A 26,460-nucleotide genomic window follows, 5' to 3' on the forward strand; every position below is an offset into this window, starting at 1 on the left:
AGCGGGACCGAGCGTGACCCAGCTGCGGCCGGCCAGCCATGGAGACTGGAGCGCTGCGGCGCCCGCAACTTCTCCCGTTGCTGCTGCTGCTCTGCGGTAAGGGGGCGACGGCCCGCACCGGGGGCGCCCCCACTCCTCGGGGTTCACCGGACCCGGGTGGACCCGCGCCTTCCCGCACCTGCGCCGCGGTCCTTCCCTTGCCCCGGAGCTCGGGAGGGGCGCACAGTGACCCTGGCGGGATTCCCAGGCTCTGCGGGAGGGTTCCACCCGGGAGAAGCTGAAGGCGAAGGACTCTGGCGGGCAAGGGAGGCACAGGGCCCCCTCCGGGGTCTTCTGACGGCAGGGTCCGGCAGCCCCCGGTCCTTCTAGTTGTGATGTCCCCCCACGCCCCGGTTCTGGGGTCGCCTCAGGGTGGGCGAGAAGAGGTGGACCAGGTCTGGCTCTTTACCCCTTATCCCCCAGGGTGGGCTGTCTGTAAGGTAGTGAGCTCTCTGTCCTGGCATTGAGTGCCTGCCCACCACTCACAGGGGCGTGGGCGGGTGGACTCCGGACTGGGTAGCTGGTCCTCCCAGGGCCCCTCAGTGTGTGGACGCCTGTGTGTGTCCTGGAACTGGCTGAGAGGGGAAGCGGGGCGACTCTCTGAGCCATCCTCTCCTAATGCCTTCTTCGGCAAGAAATCAGGACTCTAGGAAGAACCATTGCTCACAAAATGGAAATAGATTAAACTAAAAGCTTGTTTTGAAGTACCTTGCTAAAGAAATTATCCAAGAAAAAGTAAGAGAGAGAGAGAGAGAGAGAATGTGTGTAAAGGCTGTTGGGGAAGAGTGCTTGCTGAGGGCTGGGGTCCACTGAGTGGTGACTGAGCCTGGCCAGTTCTGGGGGGGACATTGGTGATGGAGGGCCCTGGCCTGGTGGTCCCCAGTTTCCCTGGCTGTAAGATGCAGAGTTGGGCCTGTTTTGATGATTTGGGATTTGGTACGGGAGGTGGGAAAAGGGTGGACCAAACTCAGTGGTCATTTTCCTTCCATTGAAGAGGTCTTGGTGTGCAGAACTTGTGTGGCTTCATTTGGTGTTCCAGGGCTGGAGCCTAGGATGTGGTGGATTTTGTGTTGAAGTGCAAAGGTGGATGGCAGCTTCTGAAATCAGGAGCATGCTGATTTGGGATTTCAGCAAACTTCCAGTGAGCGCCCCTTAGGTGGAGATCTTGGTCGCTATAGTGGAAGGAAGGTCCTCTCAATTCATTCTGGGAGAAGCTGAGGCTTTCCTGATCATCTCCAGTATCAAATTGAGAAGGACCACAGGCTTCCGCCTGCACAGAATCCCCCCTTAATAATCCTGTCTCTCGTGGACCCAGTTCCTGAGGGCCACTTCTTTGTCCTGTTGTGTTGGTCCTGACTGTCCCCCTCCAATGGGACATGGGTTCACGCTCCCTGGCCAGAATAGGGACCAGGTCCAGCTTCTCAGCAGACCCTCCCAGTGTTCGACTGGCCAGAGTGAGATTCAGGGAGAGGTAAAACTTGCTCATGGTCCCAGGCCGATGTGTCAGAGGTATCCGGGACTGGAACCCACATCTGCCCTGGATGCTGCTGTGTCTGGAAGGAAGGAGCTGGGTGGGTTCCTCTTGACTGAGGACTAGCTCAGGAGGACCAGCAGGGAGGGTGCAGGCCTCTGGGGCTTCTTTGAGAATTCCAGACCTTTTTCCAGAAAGCATTTGATGCTGTGTGGGGCTGTGGGGATGCGAAGTCCAGCAGTTGTCTACTCAGCAGGACACTTTGCTGTGGTGCCCAGCTCTTGACTGGACTCTTCTGGTCTGGGTGAAAATCCTGATCATGATCCCAAGATTATAAAGCACTCACTGGCCTCAGTTTCCGAGCTGCAATGTAGATGTAATAATAGCAATCTGTAAAGGGCTGCTGAGACCGTCAGTTTGATTCCATTCAGTTTAGTCCCTATCACCTTGTGTTGGGCATGGGATTGTGGGGTGGAAGGGTTCATGCTTAAACAAGGGGAGGTATGGGAAGGCACCCACCAGTGACTGCACTGGGCCTCATGAGGCTCACTCACAGCACCCAAAGATGGAGCACCATAGTGTGTGTGCCTGTGTGTGCAAGCGTATGAACATGGTACCATCGTTTTTATCATTAAATGATGTCCTGCTGCCATGTTACCTGTGGTCATATTGATTCTACTGAATCAAGTGGGCCCAAGGGCCATGGTTGGATAGCAGTAACTCTGGTGAATTAAAGACTTGGAGGTGGCCGGCCGGGTGCGGTGGCTCACGCCTGTAATCCCAGCACTTTGGGAGGCCAAGGCGGGCAGATCTCGAGGTCAGGAGATCGAGACCATCCTGGCCAACATGGTGAAACTCCGTCTCTACTAAAAATACAAAATATTAGCCGGGTGTGGTGGTGCATACCTGTAGTCTCAGCTACTCAGGAGGCTGAGGCAGAGGAATCGCTTGAACCTGGAAGGCGGAGATTGCAGTGAGCCGAGATCATGCTATTGCACTCCAGCCTGGTGACAAAGCGAGACTCTGCCTCAAAAAAAAAAAAAAAAAAAAAAAAAAAAAAAAAAAAAAAAAGACTTGAAGGTGGTGATTGGCCAAGAAGAGGCCCATAGATTTTTGGCACTGGAGGTTCCTTGGAGGTTATCTGACCTCCATGCTCTTACCTATTCTTCATAAGGAAACAGAAATCTGGAGGTTAGAGAGGAAGTTGCCCAACCACAGAGACCAGGGGCAGAACCGCCCAGAATCCACAGCCTCCCAAGGTCGACTGACCGTGGCCCATGGCAGCCACTTGCCAGTCTCGTCGATGCTCTTTCTGTCAAGGAGGGGGAGAGCGCCTGTGTTTCATTTCCAAATGACTAGCCACAAAAGCCCTTTCTGGCGGAAATGCATCTGTTTGGCTGTTTATCATCTCTCAGTGGCGTCTGGAAGTCCCTGAGACAAAAGAAACACAGGCCGGCATGTTCTTTGTTTCCCAATGAAACCAACCAAAATGGATTTCTATTTTGATTCAGTTCCTGCGACCTTTACTAATGCAGCCAGTAGCTTGATTGGCAATGGCCCTCTTTTGTGGTGTTGCCAGGAATCTGTCTTTACACCATTGTTCTAACATTGGGTGGGTTGTCAGGTTTTGCTGGGAGCCCCTCAAGCCTCATGTGCACTAGAAATGAGCTCCCTGGGGAGGGCACTTGGTTTCTCAGGGTGCCTGCCTTGTGCAGGCCCAGGGCTGGTGCTGTCACAGGCATCCTCATAGCACCTCCGTGGGTAGAGGAGTTATCCCAGAACACCTGCCTGAGGATGGCATGTGGTCCTCAAAGGCACATTTACAATCTGCCTGAGCCAGGTCCTTGCGATGGGGCATGTGAAGATTATGGAGTATGTAGAGATTTGGGGCATGCAGAGATTCAGGGAGGGGCATGTTGTCAGGGACCCCTCCTTCTCTTTTTAGATAGCTGTGCGACCTGGGTGGGTATTTGTAGAGCCGTGGGGGAGGGGCTGGGCAATGCCCTGGCACTGGGGGTGGTGGGGAATTGATGCTGTCTTTGCCTGGCTCAGTGAGGGAGATCAGGGGCTCAGGGAGAATAATAGTTGCCTGAGGGTAATGAATACTTATCAGGACCTTGTCCCTGAGCTGTGTTTCAGAGCATCATAGTTAATGTGAAAATGTGGCAGACACAGGCCCTGTGTAGGGAGGTGGGCTGTAGGAACAGCCATGACTTGGGCTGGCTGCGGCAAATACCTCCAGGAAAGGGCTGGGGAGGAGAAGGCAGTGGTTCAGATTCATTCTGACTTCCAAGAAGAGGAGGAAGGAAGGAGAGGAGAGGAAACAGGGGAGGGGGAGGAGGGTAAAGAAGGACAGGGGAAGGAGGAAGAGAGGAAGAAGGGGAAGGAGGGGGAGGCAGAGGAGGAAGAAGAACTGGGCTGGGTCTCGGTGGCCTGATAGGTGACAGTCAGAGTAGGCTGAGGGGGGACCAGGCCAAGTGGTCCAGGTCTAGGGGTTCAGATTCAGACCTAGGGGTCCAGGTGGACCAGGCTGCAGGTGTGGGCACTGGCCAGGAGGGACAGGGTGGGGCTAGCCTGGCTCGTGCCCATTGGGATGGTGGGCGGAGCTCAGGAGACCCACCCAAGGGTGCTGAGAGAATCTGTTAGGGAGTGACGCCAGACCCAGGGGTGAGGACAGGAGCTGGATGTGGAGAGCAGCTAGGCGAACCTTCAGAGTCCAAGGCAGGGGCAGCTTTAGGGTGAAGGTGCACAGGCCGCCTTAGTCCTCGTGTGACTCCACGTGGTCCCTGGGGCTTGCACCCCTTGGTCACTTATGCCAGGGCTGTCTTTTCACCTGCAGGCAGGTGCAGTTGAGCAGGGTGGCAGAGGGAGGCCTTGGGAAAGTCGCTTTCTTTTGGGCCTCCATCGTCCCATCTCTAAACTGAGGGAGGTGGTGAAGGAGGCATGATGTTTTTCAGGCCCTTCCCAGGATCAATGCCGACCTGTACTCCAGAATCTGTTGCAGAGCCCAGGCTTGACATGGAGCTTGGAAGTGCCCACTGGGAGAGAAGGAAAGGAAGGTGGGGATCGGGGACCAGGGCTAAGTGGGGCCACTCCAGCCAGGAGCCCTCAGGGCAAGGAGGTGAGCCTTGGATGCAGCCCTGCTTGGCAGACCAAGGGTGGGAATTGGAGTGAGGGTGTCAGTGTGAGGCAATGGTGACATGCCACCTGGAGACAGCTCTGTGGGCAGGTGGCCTGGCTTTGAACCTTGACTCCCCTGCCTTGTCTAAGTGAGGAAGCAGCTGACCCACCCTGCCACAGGGTTTCAGTCTTTAAGTACCTGCCCTGTCTGGCTGTTGTAGGGCTTGGCGGGTTGGGCCACACTTAGAACAGGGCATTCAGGGAGCACTGGTCAGTACTGAGGGGGGTGGAGAGCCTGGCTGAAGGGAAAGAGAAATGGGGCAAGGGTCTGCCAGGTAGGTGCCACTGGTTCTGTTTCTGAATGGGGACATTGAGGCTCAGAGGGGCAAGTGAGTGAGTGTCAGGGTCAGGGGCAGAGCCGAGGTGAGCACCTAGAGCCTTCTGGCTCCTGCTTGCTGCTCTTCCATCCCCCATGCCCTTACTCCTTGGAGTGTGGTCCTCGGACCTGCAGAAGGGGCTTGCCTGGAGCTTGCAGAGATGAGTGCTTTGGCCTCCAAGCCTGCTGGACTGGAATCTACATTGCTTGAGGTCTTCAGGTGATGGCCTGCACATCTGAGTGGAGACACATTGCTTTCCATCTCTCAGTCTCAGCCTTGACCCCATGTCTGAATCACTTGGAGGTTTTAACAAACATGAATTATTGGTTTCACACCCCAGAGGCTCCCATGCAATAGGCCTGGGCTGTGGCCTGGGTGAGCCTATTGTGCAGTTGACTCTGCTGGGTCTGTCCTATCTCTGGTGGCTGCCCTGAAAGATGACAGTGCCCAGAGGAACTAGGGATAGAGCCCCCAAGCCTCAGGGCTTTCTGGGTGGGTTCATGAATGGTGGTCCCTACCAGCCTTATAGAAGAATGGCTTCACTTTTGAGTCTCTTATTACTTTTTGGTTCCTTCAAAGCACTTCAGGGTCTAGAGCTGTGCTACAAGAGAACCTGGGGTCAGCAGCTTGGGATACACAGAAGTGGGAGCTGCTGGTGTCCAGGAAGGAGGCTGTGGTAATGGGGGACAGTCTGATTGTGGAGGAAGAGGGGCAGGTGCTGCCAGCAGCCAGAGGGTCGTGGAGCAGCAGCTCATGGGTGGGACAAGCTGGAGGCTGGGGTCAGCAGTGGTGGGAATAGGAAGTTGGGGCCCGATGGAAGCTAACCTTGACAGAGATTTTGTAGGTGCACAATTATTAACCAATGGAAACACACAGAATCAGAATCACTCTTTTTTACAGATGGGGAGACAAAGGACCAGAAAGGTGAAGGGCCCTGCTTGGAGTCACACAGCAAATCAGGAACTAAACAGGATGAGGTCTCTGTCTTCTGGCTCCGTGCCAGTGGGGCATCTGGAGGGTGGCACGGTCAAGCTTCAGAAGGACACGGGCCTCCATTCCTGCAGAGATGGTATGGCTTCTCTTGAAGGGACGCCAGCTTCAGTCCTGGCTGATGCTTGCCCAGGATTCCATGATGTGAAGGTTCAGAGGGCCTATTTGGGTTAAGTGGGAGAGTACTGTGGCTGAAAACCCACTTCTGCCTTTCTATTAGACTTTAAATAAACTCTGAAGACCTGTACATCCTGCTCCAACCTTGCCCTGGGTCTACCTTTCCAAAGTCACTTCTTCTTTCCTTTACACCCACAATGGTGTGTACCCCACCCTTCCACACACAGTATACCCAGCTCCACTGTGCTCCTGCCTGTGCCCTGGACACCTCTGTTCCTCCTCTGTTCACGTTTTCTAATAGCTTCCTGATTTTTATCTACTTGTTCTGTAAATTATTGAGAGAGGAGTATTCTCCAATTATCTGCTGGGTGCGGTGGCTCATGCCTGTAATTCCAGCACTTTGGGAGGCCAAGGCGAGAGGATCACTGGAGCCTAGCCTGGGTAATATGAGATCTTGTCTCTACAAATAACAAAAAAAAAATTAGCTGAGTGTGGTGGCACATGCCTGTGGTCCCAGCTACTCAGGAGGCTGGGGTGGGAGGATTGCTCAAGCCCAGGCAGTGAAGGCTGCAGTGAGTCATGATCACACCACTGTACTCCAGCCTCGGTGACAGAGTGAGACTTTGTCTCAAAAGAAAAAAAAAAGAATTCTCCAATTATAATTGTGAAATTGTGGATTTGTCATTTTCTTTTTGTAGTTCTGTTTTTGCCTTGTGTGTTTTGATGCTGTTATTAGGTGCATACATATTTAGGATTGCTACATCATCTTGATGAATTGAGCCCTTTATTGTATTGAAAAGACCCTCTTTATCTCTAGTAATATTTTTTGCTCCAAAACATACTTTGTCTGATATTAATATAGCCACTCCATCTTTCTTTTGATTAGTGGTAGCAAGATGTGTCTTTTCCCACTCTTTTATTTTGAACCTATTTGAGTCTTTTCATTTAAAGTTGGATTCTTGTTGGCAGCCTACTGTTGGACCTTACTTTTTGTTCTTATTTGACAATCTTTGCTTCTTAGTTGAAGTGCTTAGACCATTTACTTTCAATCTGATTATTGATATGGTTAGATTTAAATCTACCATTGTACCATCAATTCTTTTCCTCTCTTTTCTCCTTTTCTGCCTTCTTTTGGACTTAGTATTTATTATTATTACTCCATTTCTTTTTCCTCTTGCCCTTCTCCTCCTCCTCCATCCTTGCTAATTGGGTGTAATTCTTTTTTTTGTTTTGTTACTCCAGTGGTTGGTTCAGGGTTTATGGTATACATCTTTAATTCATCAATCTGTCTTCAGGTGACATTACACTGATTCATGGATAGCCTAAGAACCTTCCATTTCTCTCCTCCTGAACTTTATGCCATTGCTGTCATATATTTTATTTAAATCAAAGTTATAAATCTCACAATACATGATTATTATTTTTTACAGAATTTAGACATTGAGAAAAATTCTATATATTTACTTGCATAGTTAAAATTTCTGATCTCCTCCATTCCTTTGCATAGGTCCATATTGGCTTCTGATAGGCTTTCCTAAACATTACTTATAGTTTGGGTGTGTGGGTGATATTTCCTTTCACCTTTTGTATGTTTGAAAAAGTTTTTATTATGCCTTAAAAAGCCAGCATTATTGAGATATAATTCACATGCCACACAATTCACCCATTTAAAGTATACATCAATATTTTTTAGTACATTCCTAGAATTTTGCAACCATCACTATACTCAATTATGGAACGTTGTTGTCACCACAAAAATAAACCCCCTACCCATTAGCAGTCACTCCCTATTTCCTCCAACCCCCTTAGCCTTAAGGAATCACTAATATGTTTTCTGTCTCTAGATTTGCTTGTTCTGCACATTTAGTGTAAATGGCATCATATAATATGTGAGATTTTGTGACTGGCTTCTCTCACAGCAGAATGTTTTTAAGGTTCATTCATATAGTGGTATGTTTTAGCACTTCACTCTTTTATGTACAAATAATATTCTATCACATGGGTATACCACATTCTAGCCATTCATCAGCTGATGGACATTATTTCATCTTTTGGCTATTATGAATAATGCTGTTATGAATCTTCATGTAAAAATCTGTGTGTGAACATGTGCGGTATAAATTTAGGAGTGGAACTGTGTAGTCATATGGTAACTCTACGTTTAACATTTTGAGAAACTGCTAGACTAGTTTCCAACGTGGCTGCTTCATTTTACATTCCAATCAGCAGTAGTATATAAAGGTTCCAATTTCTGCATGTCCTCACTGACACTTTTTTTTTTTTTTTCTGAGAGAGGGTCTCATTCTGTTGCCCAGTCTGGAGTGCAGTGGTGCAGTCATAGCTCACTGCAACCCCGGACTCCTCAAGCCATCCTCCCACTTCAACCTCCCAAATGTCTGGGGTTACAAGTGTGTGCTATCACGTCTGACTGCCTTTTTGATGATAGCCATTCTGGTGGGTGTGAGTGGTATGTGATTGTGGTTTGATTTGCATTTCCCTGATGGTTAATGATGTTGATTGTCTTTCATGTGCTTATTGATCATTTATATATATTTTTGTAGAAATGACTATTCATATCCTTTGCCCATTTTTAATTGCTTTATTTTTCCCTTTATTATGGAGTTGTAAGAATTCTTTATGTAACCTGGGTACAAGTCTTTTATCAGATATACAACTTGCATATATTTTCTTTCATTCAGTGGGTTGTCTTTTCACTCTCTTGATGCTATCCTTTGAAGTACAGAAGTTTTAAAATTTGACGTGTCTAATTTATCTATTTTTCTTTTGTTTCTTGGGTTTTTGGTGTCATGTATAAGAAGGCTTTTTCTCACACAAGGGCACAAAGATTTTCTCCTGTATTTTTCTAAAAGTTTTATTTATTTATTTTTTGAGACAGAGGCTTGCTTTGTTGCCCAGACTGGAGTGCAGTGGCGCAATCTCAGCTCACTGCAACCTCGGCCTCCCAGGTTCAAGCTATTCTTGTGCCTCAGCCTCCCGAATAGCTGGGTAATCTAAGAGTTTTATAATTTAGCTCTACATGTAGGTCTTTGATGCTTTTTTTTTTTTTTTTTGAGACAGAGTCTTGCCTTGTTGCCCAGGCTGGAGTGCAGTGGTATGATCTCCGCTCACTGCAAGCTCCGCCTCCTGGGTTCACGCCATTCTCCTGCCTCAGCCTCCCCAGTGGCTGGGACTACAGGTGCCCGCTACCTCGCCCGGCTAATTTTTTGTACTTTTAGTAGAGACGCGGTTTCAGTGTGTTAGCTAGGATGGTCTCGATCTCCTGACCTCGTGATCTGCCTGCCACGGCCTCCCAAAGTGCTGGGATTACAGGCGTGAGCCACGGCGCCCGGCCTGTGATCCATTTTGAGTTAATTTTCGTGTATGAGGTGAGAAGGGTCCGACTTTATTCTTTGGCAAGTGTATATCCAGTTGTCGCAGTACCATTTGTTGAAAAGAGTATTCTTTCTCTGGTGAATTGTCTTGGTACCTTTGTAGAAAATCAATTTATCATAAGTGTGAGGGTGTATTCCTGGACTCTGAATTCTATTCCACTGGTCTATTTATCTAACCTTATGCCAGTACCATGCTATCTTGATTACTGTTGCCATGTTGTAAGTTGTAAGATTGGGATGTGTGAGTCCTACAACTTTGTTCTTTTTTTTTTTTTTTTATTTTTGAGACGGAGTTTCATTCTTGTTGCCCAGGCTGGAGTGCAATGGCGCGATCTCGGCTCACCGCAACCTCCGCCTCCCGGGTTCAAGCGATTCTCCTGCCTCCTGCCTTGGGAAGCCTCTCCTGAGGCTTCCCAAGTAGCTGGGATTACAGGCATGCGCCACCACGCCCGGGTAATTTTGTATTTTTAGTAGAGACGGGGTTTCTCCATGTTGGTCAGGCTGGTCTCCAACTCCCGACCTCAGGTGATCCACCCGCCATGGCCTCCCAAAGTGCTGGGATTACAAGCGTGAGCCACCTCGCCTGGCCAACTTTGTTCTTTTTCATGATTGTTTTGGCTATTTTGTGTCCCTCGCTTTTCCATAGAAACTTTAGGATCAGCTCATCAATTACTGCAATGGGCCAGCTGCGATTTTGATAGGGATTGCATTGAGTTTGTATATCACTTTAGGTAGTACTGACATCTTAACAATTAAGTGTTCCAATGTGTTAACATAGGATGTCTTTCTATTTATGTAGATCTTTTAAAATTTCTTTCAACAGGCCTGGCATGGTGGTTCATGCCTGTAATCCCAGCACTTTGGGAGGCCGAGGCTGGTGGATCACCTGAGGTCAGGAGTTCGAGACCAGCCTGGCCTACGTGGTGAAACCCCGTCTCTACTAAAAATACAAAAAATTAGCTGGGCATGGTGGCAGGTGCCTGTAATCCCAACTACTCAGGAGGCTGAGTGAGGCATGAGAATCCCTTGAACCTGGGAGGCAGAGGTTCCAGTGAGCCGAAATGGTGCCACTGTACTCCAGCTTGGGTGACAGAGTGAGACTCTGTTTCCAAAAAAAAAAAAAAAAAAAAAAAATTCTTTCAACAGTGTTTTATACTTTTCGGAGTACAAGTTTTGTACTTTTTAATTATACTTATTACTAAGAATTTTATTATTTTTGATTGTATTGGAATTGGAATTGTTTTCTTTGTTTCCTTTTTGGATTATTCATTGCTAGTGCACAGAAATACAACTTATTTTTTTGTGTTAATTTTGTATCCTGCAACTTTGCTGAGTTAGTTTATTACCTGTAACAGTCTCTCTCTGTGTGTGCCTGTATGTTGATTCTTTCAGATTTTCTAAGTATAAAATCGTGTCATCTGTGATAGAGATAGTTTTACTTCTTCCTATCTAACTTGGATGCCTTTTATTTCACTTCTTGCTTAATTGCTCTGGCTAGAACTTCCAGTAATTATGTTGAATAGAAGTGGTGAAACCTGGCATCCTTGTTTTGTTCCTGATCTTAAAGGATAGCTTTGTCTTTCATCATTGGTTATGTTAACTCTGGGCATTTCATATATGGTCATTATCATGTTGAGGAAATTCCATTCCATTCCATTCCTAATATATTGAGTGTTTTTTAATCATGAAAAGACATTGGATTTTGTCAAATGCTTTTTCTGCATCAATTGAGATGATCGTGTGGTTCCCCCCTTCGTTTATTAATGTGATATATTACATGAATTGACGTTCTTATGTTGAACCACCCTTGCATTCCTGAGATAAAACCTTCTTGGTCATGGTGTATAATCCTTTTTATATGTTGCTGGATTAAGTTTGCTAGTATCGAAGGTTTTTACGTATATATTCAGAAGCAATATTGGCCTATAGATTTCTTTTCTTATGATGTCTTTGGTTTTGCTGTCAAGATTATACTGGCTTCAGAGAATGAGTTGGAAGATGGGGAAGTGCTGCTTGCTCTATTTTCTGGAAGAGTTTGTGAATGATTTCTGTTAATTCTTCTTTCAGTGTTTGGTAGAATTTGCCAGAGAAGCCTCTATACCTGGGATTATCTTTGGGAGAAATTTTAAAATTAAGAATTCAGTCTCTTTATTTAGTATAGACCTATTTAGATTTTTGATGTCTTCTTGAACCAATTTCAGTAGTTTATGTCTTTAATAGTTTCCTAGGTTGTAACAAAGTACCATAATCTGGGTGACTTAAAACCCGTTCTGGAGGCTGGAAGAACCCAGGTGCTGGGCACTCCTTCCCAGCCTTTCCTGAACTTCTGGTGGCCCCAGGTGTTCCTTGGCTTGCAGTAGCATCACTCCCATCTCTGCCTCCATCTTCACACTGTTGTCTTCTCCCTGAATGTCTTCACCTCATCTTCTTTCTGTGTGTGTCTTTCTCTGTGTTCATATTTCTCCTTTTTGTAAGAATATACCAGTCATGTTGGATTAGGTCTACCCAAATGACCTAGTTTTAACTTGATTACCTCAGTTGAGACCCTATTTCCAAGTAAGGTCAGAATCTGAGGTGTACTAGGGGTTAGGACTTCAATATATCTTTTTTAGGGGAGATGCAATTCATTCCATAACAATGCCTTATTAGGAATTTGTCCATTTCATTGACATTATCTAATTTGTTGGCATATAGCAGTTCATAGTATTTGCATATAATCTTTTTTATTTCTCTAACACAGGTAGTGATATAGTGATATCTCCTCTTTCATCCCTGATTTAGTAATTTGAGTCTCTCTCTTTTCTTCCTGGTAAGTCTAGTTAAAGGTTTGTCAATTTGTTGATCTTTTAAAAGCTTTTTTTTTTTAATGAGCTTTGATTTTGTTGATTTTTTTTCTATTTTGTAGTTCATTAATTTCTCCTCTAATCTTAATTTCTTCCTTTCTTCTGCTGTCTTTAAGCTTAGTTTGATCTTCTTTGTCTGGTGCCTTAGGGTGGAAGGCTGGGTAATTGATTTGAGATCTTTCTTCTTTATTATTTTATTATTTATTTATTTATTTTTGAGACGGAGTCTTGCTCTGTCACCTAGGCTGGAGTGCAATGGCGCAATCTTGGCTACTGCAACCTCTGCCTCCTGGGTTCAAGCGATTCTCCTGCCTCAGCCTCTCGAGTAGCTAGGACTACAGGTGCATGCCACCATGCTTGGCTAATTTTTTGTATTTTTACTAGAGATGGGGTTTCACTGTGTTAGCCAGGATGATCTCGGTCTCCTGACCTCATGATCTGCTCGCCTCGGCCTTCCAAAGTGCTGGGATTACAGGCGTGAGCCTCTGCGCCCGGCCTTATTTTATTTATTTATTTATTTTTTAGAGACAGAGTCTTGCTGTGTCACCCAGGCTGGAGTGCAATGGTGTGATCATGGCTCATTTCAGCCTTGAACTCTTAGGCTCAAGTGTTCCTCCCACCTCAGTCTCCCTGTTGGCTGGGACTGCAGGTGTGCCACTATGCCTGGCTAATTAAAAAAATTTTATTTTATAGAGATGAAGGTTTCACAATGGTGCCCAGGCTGGTCAGGAACTCCCAGCAACAAGCCATCCCACCTGGGATTCTAAGAGTGAGTCACCATGTCCAGCCTTTTTTTTTTTAATATAAGTTTTTACAACTAAAAATTTTTCTCCAAGTACTGTTTTAGCTGCATCTCTCTAAGTTTTGGTATGTTGTGTCTTTTATTTTTATTCATCTCAAAACCATATCTAATTTCCCTTGTGAAATTTTCTTTGGCCTATTGGTTATTTAGGAATGCTGTTTATTTTCTACATATTTGTGAATTTCCCCAAATTCTTTCCATCTTTGATTTCCTTCTTTCTTTTTTTTTTTTCGAGACAGAGTTTCACTCTGTTGCCCAGGCTGGAGTACAATGGTGTGATCTCGGCCCACTGCAACCTCTGCCTCCTGGGTTCAAGCGATTCTCCTGCCTCAGCCTCCTGAGTAGCTGGGTCTACAGGTGTGCACCACTGTGCCCTGCTAATTTTTGTATTTTTAGTAGAGATGGGGTTTTGCCATGTTGTCCAGGTTGGTCTCGAACTCTGGATCTCAGGTGACCTGCCCACCTTGGCCTCTGAAAGTTCTGGGATTACAGGCGTGAGCCACCACGCTCAGCCCTGTCTTTGATTTCTAATTTTATTCCATTGTGGTCAGAGGACATTTATATAATCCTTTAAAATCTATTCAGGCTTTAACAAAGTCTCATGTCTTTTTTGATTTTTTTTCTTTTTTTAAAAATTATTTTAGTCTAATAAAAAATTATTTTATTTATTGTTATTATTTTTTGAGACAAGGTCTTGCTCTGTCACCCGGGCTGTAGTGCAGTGGCATGATCATGGCTCACTGTAGCCTCAGACTCCTGGGTTTGAGCAATCCTTCCACCTCAGCCTCCCAAAGTGATGGGATTACAGGTGTGGGATGCCACGCCTGCCTCCATTGTTTTTGACAACACCCTCAGGCATGGACTTCTGTTCTGTTCCAAATATAGTCAATCCCTTCTGCAACAGCTATGGAAATATCTGTCTCTTCTTACAGCCTGCCTCTTCCCCTGGGCAGGACCTGGCACTGTATTGGACTGGGGGATAGGACAATGGCCTGCTTCTACCAGAATGACATCTCTGCTCCACAAGCAGGCACCCATGAGGGACACTGTAGTTCCTGATTTTGGCTTGCTCCTCCCATTGTGGAGCCTCCACCCTACCAGTGAGCTGGGGTGGGGTGGTTGGGGCCCCAGTACTCTTGGCCTGCCATGCCTGGTGCAGAACCTCCACCTTAGAAGTGGGGACTGGGCGGGGCAGGGAGCCTCAGTTCTCTAGGCCTCATCTGCCCAGAAAGAAGAGACCTCCTGCAACCTGGAGCTGGGAGGGACATGCCTGCTTGTCCCAGGGTGAAACTGTAGCCCAGGACTGGGAGCTGGGGTAGAGAGAACCTCCATTTGTGGTTGCACCCACTGGAGTACAGGCTCTACAGCCAGAGGTAGGGTGTGGAGTGGGAACAGGTTGTGGCTCAAATGTCACAGATTCTCACTATTCTTCCCGAGATGTGGTAGATTTTCTTGAATAACCTTCTTCATTTGATGTGTGCCCTTAGGATGAGCTTCTCATACCACCATCCCAGAAGTCTGTACCCCCTTGTTGAGTTTCTTTTCTTTTCTTTCAACAGAGTCTCACTTTGTCACCCAGGCTAGAGTGCAGTGGCACGATCTTGGCTCACTGCAACCTCTGCCTCTTTGGTTCAAGCGATTCTCATACCTCAGCTTCCCGAGTAGGTGGGACCACAGGTGCACGCCTCCTTGTCTGGCTAATTTTTGTATTTTTAGTAGAGACAGGGTTTCACCTTGTTGGGTCTTTCTATTGAGGTTATACTTAGTTGATTTTTGATTGTGAGCTGCTTGTTTTCCTTGGGAAGTTAATTATGGCAGCTTTCTGAGGGCTGCAATGATGGTGCCTCCTTCTGAGAGGGTTTGGGTTTATTTGCTCCTGCGGGGGCCTGTCCATGATGATCAGTTTAAACTTGGGGTTTCCCTGGGTCCATCCAGGTCATGTGAATTTGGGCTGTGAATCCACAAGAAGGTCAGCCTTGCTTATGACTTCTCAGAGAGGGGTCCCCCTCCCTGCTCAGTGCCAGGTCCCATTCCTCCTACTTGGCCGAGGGTGAAGAGTTATTTCTGGTTCACCTACCTCTGAATGTCAGTTTATGGGGCCTTTCATTAGACTTCTCATCTTGGCCTTTATCCACCCCCAGTTTTCCAGGCTGGGAAGATGCCTCCAGGGCAACAAATCCATGGCCCTCTGGGTTCCACTCCATCTAGTCTTTAGCTTGATAATTTCTTGCCATCTTGTCAGCTCCTTGATGATTTTATGAATGTATGGTTTATATTTTATCCAGGCTTTCAGTTGTTTTCAGTAGAAAGTTTGTCCAGACGTCTGCCATATGACTGGACATGGAAGTGTGTCCGCTTATCTTCTCTACAAGGATATAGTGAGGCTTGTATAAGCCTTTTACAAAATCCACACTATAGCTGCAAGCGGTGTCCATCAGAAGCTGTGGGTGGTGCCCAGGTGTCAGGACCCTGGGCTATTGTCCAGGCTGCCGCTAACAAACTGGGATTTTGGGTGAAAAATGTGGCCTCTCTAATATTGCTTTTGTGGAAGGAAGGACACATGCCTTGAGGTGCCTGTGGGGACCAAGTGGGCTTCTCCCTATGAAGGTCCCAGCTGTGTCTGTGGACAGCTGAGCAGGAGGTGGTGGGCAGTGGTTTTTACGTCCAAGTTTCCCAGTGCCCAGTGAGCCCTGATGGGCTTTGGGAAGTGGAGGAAACCCCAGCATGGAGCTGACTGCCCACTGGGGAAAGCTGTAGCTTTCCCTGTAGCCTCTGTAGGCTTCTGCCACTTCTGATAGTGTGGGGAGGACTGCAAGGAGCAGGGCTGATCATCCAGGGCACCTGCTTTCCCTTGGGGACTGTCAGCAGCTTTGCCCACAGCTCACACTGCTTCAACTGCTACCATCCTGGGGTCCTCACATTCATGGCGCAAATGCTGCTGTGGACCTCCTGACACCAGGCCTGAGCTGGGAGGAGGGCAGACACATATAGCAGAGCCTCGACAGCAGGGGAGCAGTGGGGCCCAGTTGCCAAGGAGAGGGGTGAGGTGGGGGTGTTGGTGGGGGCTGTGGATTTCCTCCTAGGGAGATGGGAGTGGGCACTCCCAGCTGAGGAAATGGACAAGGCCCAGTGAGAGCAGACAGGATGGGGAGCACCGTGCTTTGGCTGGAGGAGTGAGCCAGGAGGGTCTTGGGTACCGTGGGTGAAGACAGCAGGCCCGGCATGCACAGATGACTACCCCAAAGCTGTGTGACCCTGGGAGACACTTAACCTTTCTGGGCATCAGCCTCTCCATCTGTGTAGTGGGTGTTATAGTGCCCTTGGGGTCTGCTGTGATGTCTGGGACAGATGACAGGGGCCTAAGGGCCAGGGAAAGTACAGGCTGGGTCCTCAGGGACCTCCTGACTCCCATGGCCTCAGCAAGCCCTCATGTGTGCGGCTGGCCACTGTCCCCACACTGGCTGCTGTTCTTGGTCCATCTCTGGGCCATTGACTGGTATTTGCTGAAGCCATGTTGCTTTGGGCACCTGGACCCATCTTGCTCCACGCTCCTTCTGCTACCCGGGCAGCTCAAGTCCTCTTAGGTGATCCCGATGGGGCCTGTGCATTTTTTATCCCCCTATAGCCACTGCACCATCCCTTTCAGTGGTCCTGATGCAGCCCTGGTCATGTCCCCTTCCCGCCACTGACATCGGAGCTCAGGTCTCCTTCTGACTGTGGCTGCCTGTATGCGCAGCCCCTATATGGCCTGTGCATCTTGGTGAGACTTCCTGACACTCTGTCCTGGGTTCTGCCCCATCTATTATATGCTCTATCTTCAGTCACTCCCCTAGTTGGACTGAGATCCCTGTGTCTTCCTCTTGCCCCCTGGAACCCAGATGGCAGGTCCTGAAGACAGGAACCAGACCCTCTCCCTCTCCCCTTGTCCAAGGATCCAACACAGTCCGCAACACATGATAGCGGTGGTCCAGGATGTTTTGCTAAATCTTTGGATAAATTTCACTGGGTTGACAGTGGGTACTGAGCCACCATCTCCATGTGCAGACCCTGTGGGACCATGTGGGGGACCTGTGCTACATGCAGGGATGGGACAGACACAGAATGAGCACATGGCCTTTCTGTGAAGAGAGGTGAGCACCCCAGAGGCTCACTCAGGGGTTGGGGCCCTAAGTGGGATGTGTGGCCTTTCAGAGAATCCAGGCCTGCAGCTGTGCTGATGAGACAAGCGAACGTGGGGGTCAGGGACATTCCAGGTGCTGGAAACCATGCAGAGTGGCCAGAAGGCCCTGAAACACCTGTTCTGGGAGAGCCAGTCACTGACCCTGTGTCCAGGGGCCATGGTGGTGACTTCACCCAGCCTGTGTCCTTGCCATCTGCTTACACATGGCAGCAGGCTGACCACTGAGCCACAGCCTGTGTGCTTCCCATCTCCAGGGTTCTCTGGGGCCTCAAGATGCCCTGGGTCCTGGGGAAGCTTGCATGGACAGAAGGGGAGATGTGAGTGCCTACACAGGCTTCTCAGACCACCTGCTGGGACCTGCAAGTCCTCTGTCCAACTTTACCAGCTGTGACCCCCAGGGGCCCTTCTCAGTGCTGTCAGCCTGGATTCTGAGGTATAGGTTTGGGCAGTCACGAAGGGAAGAAGGTGCCTTGAGTCTGGGAACCCACGACCCTGAACAGCTGGCAAGCCCTTTTGTGTTCTCCTCTGTGGGGTTCCAGCTAACACCTGTCCTCTGTATGTGCTCCAGGTGTTCTGCTGCAGGTGGGGGTGGGCTGAGCATGACAGTTCCCTTAACCCTGGGATCTGGACCCCTCCAGCCTTCCTTTGGCCTTAGACAAGCCACTCCCTTTTGCTGGCATCAGACGCTTGTTCAACCAAGGGGCTTCCAGGGTCTTCCCTAATGTTAGCATTAAGCAGGCTATGACTCTTGAGGAGTGTCTGGGGCGCTGTGTTCTGGTGGAGCAGGTCCCTGCACCAGAAAGTGGTCCTGTCTAAACCTGCCATTTCCATATTAAAGTGACTTATTCAGCACTTGCTCAGTGCCCAGGGTGAGCCACACATGGAAGAAGATCAGACTCTGAAATGCTCACTGCTTTCTCTATCATTCAGCCAAGACTTATTGAGGGAATGAATGAATGATACGTTCCTGGAGGTGGCACTGAGCATTTCAGACTAAGTTAGCCAGCTCAACCTCCTTGTGAGGTGGGGCCTGTATCCCTCATCTTGCGGATGGGGAAACTGAGGTTGAGCTGGTAACCAGTGAAGTGTGGGTGTGAGCCAGGTCTGTCCCATGTCAATCTGGAACCATTTTCTTATCTGCTTCTTCATGGTATTTCCTCTAGCCCAGCACCAGCCGCCGGAACACAGATGACAGGGCTGTGTACACACATGCTCATGTATGCATACACATATGCACTAAGATATAGATGGCAGGGCTGTGTACCTACACACACACACACACACACACACACACCAAGACACAGACAGCAGGGCTGTGCGTGCACACACACACACACACCCGAGACACATATGCCTGGGGTCTCTCTTGAGTATATGATGAGCACCAAAGCAGAGGTCAGGTGAGGGAAGTTTAGGAGCAGGGAGGTCCTGTCGTCTGGAAATGGGATGACCGTGGAGACAGGCCCTGAAGGACAGGGGGCATTGCTCAGTGGGAGGGAGGATGTTCCCCATGGGGAAATGTGTGGAGCAAAGGCATGAGGAGGAAGGGGAGGGGATGTTTTGGTGGGCAGAGGTTGGGAAGGGCAGTGGGGAAATCCTGGGACAAGCAGCTTGTGTCAGACCCTGAGAAAGTCCAAAGGACTCATTCCCATTGCTGGGAACATGAGTCCCTGCAGTGGCCTCAGCCCCTGGTTTCCCAGAATTGGAGGGGGTCTTTGACCGGGAGGGGTTGGTCTTTACTGGCCTGGAGCCCTCCTCTGCCGCCCCTGCAGGCAGTGGGATGGTCCCCAGGTCTTAGAGTCCTCAGGATGTTCCCAGGCCCCTGGGACTCCTAAGCTGGAACTGGAGCCTCTTTGCCAGCCCTGATCTGCCTGAGACCCTCTCACCACCTCCCAAGGAGTTTGGCCCAGGGTCTCACTGCCTGATCCCTGCCTGTGCCACTGCCTGTGAGGCGGTGAAGTGAAAAGGTGGACTTGTCCTGTCTTGGGGACAGGTCCCTGTGTGGAGCCTCCTTTCTGCACTGACAGGTAGGTCAGGGTGGAGGGTGAAGGACTCCGCTGGAACGGTCTCAGGCTTGCAAACGGAGCCTTGCTAGTGAGTACTCAAGTTATGGCCCCTTGGGCCTCCCCTGTCCTGGCATCCCCAGTGTGAACTGTAGTGGAATTCTTATGGCTGTCCCCTCTCCAGGTGGGTGTCCCAGAGCAGGCGGCTGCAACGAGACAGGCATGTTGGAGAGGCTGCCCCTGTGTGGGAAGGCTTTCGCAGACATGATGGGCAAGGTGGACGTCTGGAAGTGGTGCAACCTGTCCGAGTTCATCGTGTGAGTGCCACTGCTGGGCGTGGGATTTGCTCTGACCACAGCGCTGCCCACTGCCCAACCACTGCCTGACCACAGCCTGACCGCACTCTACCCAAGGCCTCACCCATGCCTCACCCACAACCCACCGTAGGCCACCCACAGCCCTTTCATGTGCTGCCCCACACTTTGCCCAGGGCCCCAACCACGCTCCTATTCACACTCTGCTCTTGGCTCTGGCCACCCCACCCACATCCCCCTGGCACATCACTCACGGCCCCGCCCATGCCGTGCCCCTGCCCACGGCATTTGTGCTCCCCACACCCACAGCGGGTTCCCAGCTTCCTACCCCCCATTCCGCATCCTCACTCTGATGTTCTAGCAATTCTACACTGTGCCTCTGCTTCTCCCTCTCCTCTGTTATTTAGGAATCCTCCCCATGCCTGCTTTTCCTCCTGATCCAGATTAGTGCCCTGCCCTGGGAGTGTCCAGTTCGGGGGTTCCCTGGCCTGGGGGTGCCCTGTCTGGGAGGTGCTCTGCCTGGAGGGTGCCCTGCCCGGGGAGTGTCCAGTTTGCGGGTGGCCTGGCCTGGGGGGTGCACTCTCCCAGGGGTGGGTGCTGCCCTACCCCAGGGGGTGCCCTGGCCTGGGGGATGCCTTGCCTGGAGGGTGCTCCACCTCTCCTTACAGCTGGAGCTGGGTGGACATTGTCATGTGTCTTTCTTACAGCACCAGTCATGGCTGGGTCTGTCCTCAGTGGTCAGAGGACTTAGAGGAATTGGGTTCCAATGGTTTATATCAGGTGTAATTGTGGACAACACCTCATAGTGAAGGGAGGTCCCCTTGTTCTAGAAGCTTCCCAAGCTTTTCATCTCCTTACCTCCTTGGAAATTGCTCATGGCCTCACAGTCCTCTGCCCCACCCCACTCCACCTCTGGCTTTGCAGTCTTGTGCCACCCCCTGGTGGCTGCTGCCAGACCCTAAATGTGCTGGCCTCATGCTTTTGCATGTTAGCACCCCAGCCCCTGTCTTCCGTAGAGACACTGACCATGGCCCTGCCCCAGGAAGCCTCCCCGGCCCTGGCCATTCTAGTGGCCCAGCAGATGGGGGCTTCTTGAGGCTGTCACATCTGCAGCCCCACTCTGTGGGGGAACTGCTTGCTGAACCAAGTGGAATGGAATTCTGAGTCTGCTGGGAAGGGGTGCTGGGATTCAGGAAGGGGTTTTGCAGGCTCCTCCTGGTCCTCAGTGAGCCTGGACACAGGCCTGGAATGGACCCACTGGTGGGGGTGGAGTCAGGGAAGAGGAGGTCATAGCTTCGTAGCTTCTGGTCTTGCTCCTCTCTGTAACCCGCTAAAGCCTTGGTAAAGAGACTAAATAGAGATGTCCAGCCGTGGATTGGGAGGACAGGAGTGGAGGCAACCCGATGGGCATTTAGGAGCCAGTGAGTGAGTGGGCAAGAGCCACTGACTGAGTGCCCTTGGTGAAGTCAGACCTGATGCTGGAAAAGGGGAGCTGGGAACAGCCAGGTTGACATTGCGGAGCCCTCCCACGACCCGGCCGGCAGCACCAGCTCCCAAGAGAGTGGCAAGAGTAGCTGAGAAGCAGTGAGGTGTCCAGAGCCCTCCTCCACCCCAGCTGGACACTGGAGGTGTATTCTTGGAGCTGGTGACACCAGGGTTTCTGGGCCTTCCCATGTAATTGAGAACGTGGCACAGTGTCCCAGAGAGGGAGGCTGGAGAGAGCGGCTGATACGCATTATCTTTTGCCACTGGGTCCAGGAGGGTGGTCTAGGGTAGGATTGGAGCTGTCCTTTCTGAGGAGTGAGACCAGCCAAGAGGAAGGACCTAGAAGCAGTGACCCCCCCAACCCCTGGAAGCTCTGGGGACAAGCTCTTCTGCAGGGTCCCAGTGTCTCATCAGCTCTCAGTCCCCACTCCCAGTCACGAGTCACTTCCAAGCAGGGTCCCTGGAAATCTGACCTAAGGCTCTGACCCTGAAGGACAGAGACCAGAGAGATGGAACCAAGCAAACCCGGGGGCCATGCACCAAGAAGAAAACTGCAAACGTCACGACTGATATCTTCAGAGGGCAACAACTATCTCTCATGTGATGAATGAGAACAAAGAAAGAGGTTTAGAAATGGAAGATGCAATAGAAGTGAAATGGAATAGAAAGGTTGGAAGGGAGATGTTGAGGAAATCTCCCAGGAATAGGAGAGAGAGACAGAGAAGATGATCAGGAGGTCAGTGGTCAGTCCAGGCGTAACACCAAGATAGTAGGAATTCTAGAAAGAGAACAGGAGAATGGAAGGATAAAGGGCCCTTGCCAGGGGCTGAGGGCATGAGCTTGCAGCCGGTGAGGGCTTGCCCGGTACTAGCACGAGGGAGGAAAATGTCCCACATGGACCCTGGAATATCAGAGCTGTGGAAACAAAGGAAAACTTCTACACCTATCCAGAAGGAGGAAAAAAATGAGCTCTAGGTTGGAGATGAGGGGATCAGAGGCCTTCAGGCTCCCCCACCGCAGCCCTGGAAACCGAGGACTGTGGGATGCAAGGACCTGAGAATTTCGGACTGTGATTTCTCAGCTAGTGTGCTATTTCCCGCCAATTTGTCCACTAATTAGGGAGAAACGAAAATACTGTCAGACGTGTGGCACCTCCAGCATCTGATTCCCACATACCTTTCTCAAGCTCTGGCGGCTGTGCGCCAAGGTGTGGAGCAAACCACGACAAAAGAAGCTATGAGATTTGGGGAGCGGAGCCAAGGCAGGAGAGGGAAGCCCCAGGGAGGGCGGTGCCCCAGCGTGGCAGTACACCCTGGGTGGAGGCAGCCTGGCCCAGGTGGAGGGCACTTGATGCTTACCTGACATGGTGACTGCCTGCCCATGCCCTGCAGCCCAGCTCAGTCAAGAATGAAGGACACTCCTTTCTTTCCCCTGAATGTTCATTCTGCTTTGGTCCCCACTGAAGCAGGGTGGGCCTTGGTGAGCTTAGAGGAGAGGTGGCTTGCTCCCCTCAATAGGACTGGTCCACATGACGACCCCATCAGGAGTCGAGTCATGGCTGGGAAGACCCTATTCCCCAAACTCGCCCATGGCCTGCCTGTGGCCTTCCCTGGGGAGGAGTCTCATTGCCCCTCGGGGCAACCAGAGCGTGTCCTCTCCTGGGAACCTCCCTCCAATAGCAGCAATGGGCTCCTTCTGTACCCAGTTAAGGAGCATTGCTATGGGATTTCCAAATGCAACACTATATTGCCTGGGAACACACTCAGGTGGTGAAACATAAAGGAAGGTGGGCAAACACCCCAGAGGTGGGTGGGGGGAGAGGGAGTCTGACTGGGGGGTTTGCCCGGCTTCCAGCCTGCTGGGCTCCTCTCCTTCCCATCCTGGGTTGTGGTGCATCTTTTTTAGGGAGAGTGCTCTGGGGAGCCTGACTGAAGGAGGAGTGGAGAGGCCCCAGATTATCCAGGGGATGAATAAATCATAAGTAGTTCCCGGTTTTCTAGAGAAGCACTGAATGTGGACCTCTCTAGATATGTGACAAAAATGCAGATTTTGTGGATCCACAGAGATGGGTGCTGTGCTCAGCTCTGCCCCAAACCTAACAGCTGGGGTGGGCTCACCCCATGACCTCCTCTGTGCCAGGCACTTGCTGGGGCACATGGACCTCAACTCATTTGGTTCTCTCAACCACCTGATAGGATAAGTGTTATTAAACCCACTTACAGATGAGGAAACTGAGGTCCAGGGAGGATAAATGACATGGCCCATACCACAAAGATGGTGAGTGGCTGAGCTGGAGTTGGAGAGGCCCTGCCATGTTGGCTCTGCAACCTGAGCCTGAAGCCACTGTCCATGCTGTCTTCTGGGATTACCTCTGCTCCGTGGGCTTCTCCATGTGGCCTAGCTTTGGCTGGGAGTGGGGTTTGGGAACAGCAGGGGCTTTCAGCCCTGCCTCACCTCCTCTTGGGACGGTTCTGGGGCTAGACATCACTCCTCTTGCCCTGTAGACTCGCTGTCCACAGAGGGTCTTCTCCAGGGTCTGTCTGGCTCATCTCAGCCCTGGGGATGGTTGTTGGGGGGTGGCATTCCTGGGTAGCAGTTCAGTGGAATGACTTTGGAGGCACAGAGGTTACCGCATGTGATTCTCATCACACACATAGATGCTGGGAACTTCTGAAGGTGAAGGCTGTTGCAGGGTGTTGTTAGACGGCTCCCCAGCTCCTGGATCAGCTGGCGGGGGGTTGGGGTGGACAGCAGGCTACTGAATCTGAGGCCCTGTGGGAGAAGCAGGTCAGGGAAGATGAGGGTTTGTCCATGGACCTAGCTGTTGAGGTGTCTCTAATGCCTGGGCATGTCTCAGGTGCTGCATTGTGGCTGAGGCCCAGGAGAGCCAACAGCTTTGTACTTGGATTCGAGGCTGTTTCTTTTGCTCTGGCTGTTCTCTGCTGACACTACCTGGAAAGGCACAGGTGTGTGTCTGACCTACATTCCAAGGTGCTGAGAGCCAGCCTTGGATCAGTCAGGAGCTGGGCTGAGTGACTGTACCTGGGCTTCCCAGACCCTTCCTGGGGCATGGGGTTGGGAGACCAGGAGAACCCTGGGTGGAGTAGGTCAGAGTCCCTGTTTCCTACCCCTTTCTGATGCTTTGGGAAATCTACGCCCAGATGATGTTCCATGCAGGAGGCAGCTCTTTCCTGTTGATGGGCCAGATCAGTGGCTCCCTCCTGGGACAGCGCGGGAAGGAGGAGATGGGCTACTTTCCCATGGGGAAGCCGAGGCAGGACCCTTCACACTCCTGCATCTGTACTCATGCAGCACAGACGTGGGGAAGTGCTAGCCCTGCACAGAGGGGGTGGCATCTGGGCAGGAGTCCATCTAGCTTCGTCTAGAACATCCTGAATGAGTGGCTGCCACTCTAGGCCTTGCAGACCCCAATGACAGGGAGGTCATCACCTCCACAGGCTGCCCATTGGAACAGGTGGTGGCTGGGAAGTCCTTTATGCTGAGTTGACCTCTGGGTCTTGGTGGCTATAGCCCTTGGTCAGCATGAGGACTGTCCAGAGCCTGTGCTGGGCGGTCATGGAGCATCATGGGTGGTTTGCTGAGTGCCCTTCCCATCTTTGATCTCATGGACAGGGGGACCCACAGGAGGGGGCTCCACATGTCCTGCTAGATGGGGCTGAAGGAGGCAACTTCTGAGTAGGAGATGAAGAGGCAGGGACTGGGGCTCACAGGTCTGACTCCCACTTGGCCACCACCTGGCACATGAGGGCAGGCTGACTTGATTAGGAGGTGGCTGGCCCCTGGCCTCAGAGAGACCCTCCTCTCAGGCTCTTAGGGTATCCTGGATGATGAAGGCTTTGCAGGTCCAAGCGGCTGTGATCCAGGCACCCTTTGGCCCTGGAGAAGCATGGCTTGGTGTGTCCTCTGGGCAGACCTGCGTAGTGCTTAGAGGTCCAGGGAAGCTGGGCTGAGACCCTGGATCCTGGGAGCTCATGGCCTCAAAGGCAGCAAGTCATGGTCATTGTGATGCAAATGTGGGCAGGGGACACAGGGAATGGGTCATGGGCACAGATGACCCTGTGGCCAGAATGGGGATTTTCCAAGGCTGGGCTGTGAATAGGTGGCCAAATGGGACTGTACCCAAGCCACCCCACCCATCTTCCTGGCCTCAGGTCAGGGCAGGTGTGAGGGGGGATGGCGAGAGCCTGGCTTTCACCCCCTCTGCTTTTGCAGGTACTATGAGAGTTTCACCAACTGCACCGAGATGGAGGCCAATGTCGTGGGCTGCTACTGGCCCAACCCCCTGGCCCAGGGCTTCATCACCGGCATCCACAGGCAGTTCTTCTCCAACTGCACCGTGGACAGGGTCCACTTGGAGGACCCCCCAGACGAGGTTCTCATCCCGCTGATCGTTATACCCGTCGTTCTGACTGTCGCCATGGCTGGCCTGGTGGTGTGGCGCAGCAAACGCACCGACACGCTGCTGTGAGGGTCCCGGTGAGATGGAGTGGGTCACACCTGGCAAGCTGGAAGAAAGTTCCCTGGGGATGGGAGAGCGGGTGGGTGCTGCCAATCTCCAGCTACTGTGGCCACACCCCACCTGGTCATGGGCAGACCCCTCCCTTCCTGGGCTGACCTGCTCCCTCGAGGCCAGCCTGCTCCCTGGCTGAGGCTCAGGCTATCCGCCCAAGCTCTTTGCTCATTCTAGGGCCAGTGGAGGAAAATGTGATAAGGCCAGAGCTTGTGTGCTGGGCACAGAAATCACCTGCTGCATCCTGTGCTCCGCAGGCTGGGCCGGAGCCTCTGCCCGCAGGTTTCTATGCTGTTTCTTAGCACAGAATCCAGCCTAGCCTTAGCCGCAGTCTAGGCCCTGCTTGGACTAGGACTCCTTGCTTGACCCCATCTCTGGTTCCTGCCCTGGCTCCTGCACCAGCCCCAGCTCCTGCCTACATCCAGGCAGAAAGATAGGCAGGGGCTCTTGGAAGACGTTCCGTGCTGTGACCTCCGAGCCCTCCTGGTGGGAAGACAGCTGGAAAGGCTGGGAGGAGAAGGGAGGGGCTGGGGGTTCCCAGGAGCCATGCGTGGCCTGCAGAGTCCATTCCATCATGATGCTGTGCCCGCTATGGGCTGTGTCCATGACCAGAGGCTGGAGTGGGGGTGTGTTAGAGCCCCTCACCGGGACTTGCTGTGCGGATGGGGCCTGGGCCTCCTTCCTACAGGGGCTCCTCTGTGGGTGAGGGGCCCTCTGGAATGGCATCCCATGAGCTTGTGGCCTCTATCTGCTACCATCTGTGTTTTATCTGAGTAAAGTTACCTTACTTCTGGAA

The 26,460-nt window shown here is 51.0% G+C and overlaps 1 protein-coding gene across 2 annotated transcripts, besides 1 other annotated feature; it reads left to right on the top strand.

Annotated features, from left to right (window-relative positions):
* On the top strand, positions 1-26,460 carry RAMP3 (receptor activity modifying protein 3). Of its 2 annotated transcripts, XM_006715631.4 has the most exons (5): positions 1-96; positions 4,468-4,631; positions 5,908-6,076; positions 19,519-19,651; positions 25,367-26,460. In XM_006715631.4, exons 1-5 carry the CDS (start codon positions 39-41, stop codon positions 25,620-25,622), a joined length of 780 nt encoding a protein of 259 aa, XP_006715694.1. In that variant the 5' UTR covers positions 1-38; the 3' UTR covers positions 25,623-26,460. The 2 variants fall into 2 exon arrangements, with proteins under 2 accessions (XP_006715694.1, NP_005847.1); NM_005856.3 differs by lacking the exons at positions 4,468-4,631; positions 5,908-6,076.
* Positions 19,711-20,211: an enhancer, noted in NCBI's record as "H3K4me1 hESC enhancer chr7:45217100-45217600 (GRCh37/hg19 assembly coordinates)". NCBI's record gives its function as "activates a minimal SCP1, AML or CMV promoter by ChIP-STARR-seq in naive H9 embryonic stem cells {active_cell/tissue: H9 hESC(naive)}" and the evidence as "EXISTENCE:reporter gene assay evidence [ECO:0000049][PMID:30033119]".

The sequence above is a fragment of the Homo sapiens genome, chromosome 7, assembly GCF_000001405.40.
Source record: "Homo sapiens chromosome 7, GRCh38.p14 Primary Assembly".
Classification (NCBI taxonomy): Eukaryota; Metazoa; Chordata; class Mammalia; order Primates; family Hominidae; genus Homo; species Homo sapiens.